Source organism: Homo sapiens, chromosome 18 (genome assembly GCF_000001405.40).
Source record: "Homo sapiens chromosome 18, GRCh38.p14 Primary Assembly".
In the NCBI taxonomy this organism is placed as follows: Eukaryota; Metazoa; Chordata; class Mammalia; order Primates; family Hominidae; genus Homo; species Homo sapiens.
In genome coordinates, this window is record NC_000018.10 from 59,288,311 (window position 1) to 59,295,287 (window position 6,977).

Consider the following 6,977-nt stretch of genomic DNA (forward strand, 5'->3'; position numbering starts at 1 on the left):
TAAAACAAAAACAAAAATAGGGAGACTCTGAATTCCACTGCAGAGAGCACTCAAAGTCCGTTTACATTCTTCTTTATTTTAAAATTGTTATTTCTTCAAAGAGCCACATTGTAGTCTTGGAGTAGAAATTTCTTGTTGAGGTTTTCTGGTGATTTATGTGGTATTTTTTAGGGAATACATTTTATTTCTCCAACATCTTCAGGGCACACATGTGGATGTAACATGTGTTACTATCAGAATGCTGATAGTCATTCTAATAAAAACATGGACTGGCCACAGACGTAAACAAGAGGAGGGGGAAGAGAAACACAGAAGCCTCCAGGAGCCCCACATCCATGACCAGTGGAACATTTTGGGTTTAGCACGGTGCTGGATCTGAAAGTCCACACAAAACATGCTACCTGACACTTGAACGCTTGGGAGCACCAGTCTTGTAAATGCCTATAAGGATAACAAGACATAAGTTCTCCCTCCAGAATTCTTTTGGTTAGACTGTCACTATATTTTATTTTATTTTATTTTATTTTAAGACAGTGTCTTGCTCTGTCACCTAAGCTGGAATGCAGTGGTGTGATCTTGGCTCCTTCGCCTCCCAGGTTCAAGCGATTCTTGTGCTTCAGCCTCGCGAGTAGCTGGGATTTCAGGTGTGCACCATCATGTCCTGCTAGGTTTTGTATTTTGAGTAGAGATGGGGTTTCACCATGTTGGTCAGGCTGATCTTGAACTCCTGGCCTCAAGTGATCCACCCACCTTGGCCTCCCAAAGCGTATATTTATTTCATTTTAAGTGTTATATTTTTAATTGCATTAAGAAATATAAAATTCTTATAGAAATTGGAATTTTTTGCTGAGAGTGATATTTATATATTGCTCAATGCTTTGAACCCTTAAATGAAAGTTCTAAACATGAATATTAGAATATGAGACAAATATCTATCCGAACAATTGGGCAGAGGAGAAAATGAGAGCTTAAAAATACACAGAGAATCCCAAATGTCATTGTATATTTTTGTTTCCATCTCTCTTCTCATCATACTTTTTTCACTAGAGCTGTTGACAAGTGGAGAAGTTTATTCATTTCCGCTTCATCATTTAATCATAAAATATAAAGCATCCATTAAGAAAAACTTAAAACATGTAGTAAAGTTGAAAGGATTGTAAACACCATGGACCCCCCATCTAGATTCTAAAATTAATATTTTTTCTTTATTGTTCTATGACACCTATTTATCTCTCTAACTACTCAACAATCTCTTATTTTTTTGTGTACTTTTAAAAGTAAGTTGCAGACTTCAGTGCATCTCACTTCCAGATACTTCAGTATGCCCTTAATTAGCTAGAGCTCAATTTTTTTTAAGGATTCTAGCCTAGTGTGTTTGTTTTAGATGAAACTGCCAGAACTTTCCCCAACAATATGTAATATATACAAGAATCCTGATTGCTCCATATTCTCACCAAAACTTGTTGTTGTCAGTCTTTTAAATTTTAACCATTCTAGCAAGTCTGTGGTTAGTTTTCGTTTTCATTTCCCCGACAATTACACTGAGCACTTTTTTATATACTTGTCCATTTGCATACTTCACTTTGTTAAGTGTTTGCTCACATTTTCTGCCCTTCAAAAATTTGTTTTAAATTTTTTTATTATTGAGTTGTAAGGGCTTAAATATATATATATATATATATATATATATATATATATATATATATATATATCAATCAAAGGTCTGGGTCCTTTGTCAGATATAAATTTTGCAAATATTTTCTCCCAGTCTGTAACTTGTATGTGGCTTGGCTATTTATTTTCTTAATGATATCCTCTGATGAGCAGGAGTTTTAAATTTTGATAAGGCCTAATTTATCAATTTTAAAATTTTTCTATTCTCTAGAAAAGCTCTCCTTATTCCAAGATCACAAAAATTTTCTTCTGTGTTTTGTTCTAGAAGCTTCACAGTTTTAGTTTTATGCTTAGGTCTGTGATCCACAGTGAATTAAGTTTCTAGATATGGTATGAGATAAGGGTGTAGGTTTGACATGTTTCAGCACATTAAAAAAAAAGACTTTCCGTTCCTTCATAGGATTGCATCGGTATCTTTGTCAAAAATCAATTGGCCAAGAGATGGAGGTTAGTGGTTTCTAGGGCTTGGGAGTGGGAAGAGGGAGGATAGATGTGATTATAAAGGAGTTGAATCAGAGAGATCTTTGTGATGATGAAACAGATCTGTATCTTGATTGCAGTGGATGTATGAATCTACACGTGTGATAAAATGGCACAGAACTATACACACCCATTATGCCACTGTCAATTTTCTGGTTTTGATATTGCACTGTAATTATATAAGATGGAACCATTGGGAGAAGCTGGGAGAAGGGTACATGGGACCCTTTCTGTACTATCTTTGCAATTACCTGTGAATCTATCATTATTTCCAAATAAAAATTTAGAAAAATCAGTTGACATATAATTGTGGATCTATTTCAGGTACCAGTATCGATCAGTACCAGTATCAATTGGTACCAATATCACCCTGTCATGGTTACTGTAGCTTCATAGTACAGCCTTAAGCAAGTGGAGTAAACCCTCCAAACTTGTTTTTCTTTTTCAAGATGGCTCTGTATATCCTACTACACTTGCCTTTCCAGTTATATTTTTGAAACAGCTCATCTTTTCCTACATGATAGGATTATGATTGAGACTGCACTGACTCTATAGATCAATTTGCTGTTTATTGATAGCATGACAATATTGAATCTTCTGATCCATAAACATTTATTTAAGTATTCTTGAATTCTCTCAGGAATGTGTTGCAATTTTCAGTGTACAGGCCTTCTACATCTTTTGCTACATTTATTACTAACAATTTTAAGTTTCCTAATGCTATTGGAAATAAAATTGTTGTAATTCCATTTTTGAATTGTTTGCAGCTAGTATATAAAAATGCAATTGATCATTATATACTGACATTGTTTCCTGCAACCTTACTAAGTTAACTTATTAGTTCTGGTGGTTGTTTTATAAATTCCTTATAATTTTCTGTGTTAGTAATCATGTCATCTGTGAATAGAGACAGTTTCACATCTTCCTTTCCCATCTTTTCTTTTCTTCCTTTTCTTCTCCTTTATTGCACTGGCCAGGGCCTTGGTACAACGTTGAAAAGAAATAACGAGAGTAAATTTCTTTGTCTTGTTCCCATTTCTAGAGGAAAGTATTTAATGTTTTACCATCAAGGATGTTAGCTGTTGGTTTTTCAAAGATGCTCTTTATTGAGTTGATAAAGTTTTATTCTAATCTTAGTTTGCTGAGAGTTTTAAATCAACAATGGGTATTGGATTTTGATAAATGCCTTCTCTGTTGACATAAATGATTATATGGGGTTTCTCTTTATTGTGTTAATATGGTGAATTATATTTATTGAGTTTTGAATGTTAAATTAAATCAACCTTGAATTTGTAAGATAAACCTCATTTGTTCATGATATATTGTCCTTTTTGTGTATTGCTTTGTCCTTTTTGTGTATTGCTGGATTTTCTTTTCTTTTTTTTTTTTTTTGAGACAGATTCTCCCTCTGTCACCCAGGCCGGAGTGCAGTGGTGCGATCTCAGCTCACTGCAACCTCCTCCTCCAGGGTTCAAGTGATTCTTATGCCTCAGCCTCCCAAGTAGCTGGGACCACAGGTGTATGCCACCACACCCAGGTAAATTTTTTGTATTTTTAATAGACATGGAGTTTCACCATGTTGTCCAGGCTGGTCTCGAACTCCTGATCTCAAATGATTTGCCCACCTCGGCCTCCCAAAGTGCTGGGATTACAGTGGTAAGCCACCACATCCAGCCTGGATTTTATTTTCTATTAGTTGTTGAGAATTTTAAAAATTTAAATTCAACAGAGATATTGGCCTGCAATTTTCTTTTTTTTAAATAATGTTTTTGTCAGGTTTTGGCATCAGGATTATATTTGCCTTATAAAATGACTTGAGAAGAATTTCTTCTTCCTCTTTCTGAAAGAGTTTGGGTAAGATTGTGCTATTTTCCCTTAAATATTTGATAAAAGACACCAGTGAGGCCATCTAAGCTTGGTGTATTCTTTGTGGGAAGGGTTTTAATAATTATTTCTATTTTTTTAAGACATAGGGTTATTCTATATATCTTGCATCAGTATTTGTGAGGTGCATTTTTTTCAAGGAATTTGTTAAGTTCACCTAAATACTTGTCAAGTTTATTAGCATAAAGTTCTCCATAATATTCCCTTATCCTTGAATGACTGTAGGATTTGTAGTGTATCCCCTCTTTCAATGTTGATATTGGTCATTTGTGTACTCTTACTTGTTTCTTAAGCAATTCAGCTAGGTGTCTGTCAAGTTTGTTGATCTTTTAAACGACCAACTTTTGGACTTCTTAATTTTTTCTATTGTTTGTCTGTTTTCTATTTCATTGGTTTGTGCTCTCTAGTGTTTCCATCCTTCTACTTACTTTGCTGAGTTCTGTTATGTTTTTCTGAAGATTATTTTCATTTGTTTGTCTGTTTGTTTCATAGTCAGCAAACATGGCTGGATTCAAACTCAAAACCCTGTTTCTCTTAAGTGGGCAGTAACAGAATTCTTAGTTCAGTTTGTTTAGCCTTCACTGGGCTGCTCAGAGTATGCCTAATCTATGCATAGTTCAGGGATTAGCCAGGATCTTGAAGAGACTTTATACACGAATTTAAAATCCCCCTCCTATAGCTCTCTCCTTTCTAGGATTCGCTCTTTCATTTTGCAGCTGCTGTGGGTACCCCAAACTCTGCTGGTTCTTCAATACATTAAGGCTGCAGGTTTTCTATCTGAGTTTTAGTTGTCTTACTTGGCTTCAAGTGGGGTCTGCCTTCAGATGAAACCTGTAAGCAAAGGAAAACTCACCAGTGCTTTTTCCTTCTTCTCAGTTCAGGTTTCATTTCTCTCCAGTGTGGACCTGCTTTTGGCTGCTTCCAGTGCTTTCAGGCAATTGTTTCTTTATATTTTGTTCATAGTTTATGGTTGTTATTTGCAGGAGGGTTGATCCAGTAGGAGCTTATTCTCCACTATCAGAAGCTGTAAGCTCTAGTTTTTTCACTTTTAATTTCACTCCTCTCCCTGTGTCTGATGGTTCTGTTTGTAAGCAGGAATTTGGCTAAATTTCTAGTGCCAGGAGCAAAACCAAGGTACTTACATAACTCACAAACTAGATCAGTTGGTTTCTGGGTAACTGAGCTCACTATATCAATAGTCCTTCAAAAGCAGAACTCCTGCTTCATTGTACTGTAGGAGTCCATATCTAATTGGGACTAGACTAAGCAAAATTGGGAAGTCCATTTAATTTGTCTTCTTGGAATTTATTCTTCAGCACCTGTCCCCAGAGTCATTATGGTTCCTTCTGCCTGAATAGAAATGCCCCCCTGGATCTCTAGATTTTTCTCTCCTCTCTTTTAGCATCTATCAAAACTCTCTCTTCCTCCCCGCCACTCCTGGAGCCTGGTGTCCCTTTCCTCAGTTGAAGCTAGTAAAGGACTGAAACCTAGTTCTGTGGCAGTGACAATGGGCTAATGTACTCTCTTTCACAAGATAAATCTCCACAGTGACCACCCTGAAACCATAGAATGAATTACAGAAGGTAGAGTAATCCAGCCCCCTCATTTTCACTGTTGAGAAAATGGATTTCCAGATAGTATAAATAACTGGTCCGAGGTCATGTGCTAGTGGGGTTGGGACTAAAATCCTCATTCCTGACTATGAGTTGGCTCAGGAATGGCTTCAAACATCAAGTCCAGTGGCAGGGTGTGGAAGGGGACAGCATTGCTGCCTTCTGCATGGTTGGCTTCACTCCTAGACATGGGCAGTCAGCATTCAATTACCCAGTGGGTTCACAGTGTTCCTACTGTATGATAAGAATTGACAAAAAGAAGTAAGGATGTCTTCCTGAAAAAGAGAAAACTGAGAGGGGATATATCAAAGCCTGAGTGGGAATGTAGGCACAATCTGTGCAGTTTAATTCAACAGAACCATGACCAATGGATTAAAGATGCAACCATTTTCAGCTTAAGACAAAGAAGGATTTTCTAACAACTAGAGCTGTCTACAAATGGAAGAGCTGGTGGTTAAATTTCCTTGGAGCAGCAGATAGTGACTTCTGTACCACTGGAAGCTTTCAAATAAGGCTCAACTGGGACAGTTTGGGAAGGGTCCCTTTATTGTATGGGAGATTGGAATAGATTCCCTCGTAGTCCTTAATAATTGTTGGATTCTAGGTTTTGATGATGGGAGACCTTTTTGTGCTCCTCAACATCATACAGCACAGACACCTATCTACCCTCTAGAGAGAAAGGGGCCTTCTGGATGCCCTAATACATGTCCTCCCTCTCCCAACCCATACACATGTGATTTGGTGTTGATTGGGGTGGTGTGGTTTGGCATGGTGAGGGGTGGTTTAGTGTGGGGTGGTGCGTTGTAGTGTAATGTGGTGTGATAGGTTGTGGTCTGGTGTAATGTGATGTGGGGTGATGTGATATACTGGGCTGTGTTGTGGGGTTGTATGGTGTGATATGAGAGGAATCATGGTCAGAGTCTTCTAGCAGCTGTGCAGCTTCATTGAGACAACGACCAAATTGCATTGGAGTAATGTTGGCAGTCAAGAGGAAGTGCCAATTTAGTGATTTCCTTAGCAGAACTGGCTGCATCTTTTACAAGAAAGCACATCTTCTTTGTCATCCTGAGGCTAGAGTGTGGAACAATTTGGCAGCTGTAGTATTTTATGTCATACAAAGTGTACAGATATCAGGCCACATACAGCACCTCTCACCCATCCATACTACCCACCTCACCAACTACAGGGCAGAGTCAGGCATTAAACTGAAAATAAATGTTATCTATTATATTGTAGTTTTTAAAAAAGTGAGTTTTTTAAAGTTTCTGCTATAAAACAAATCACAACTCACATGCCATTTCTGATAAAAGACAAGCACAGTTTTAA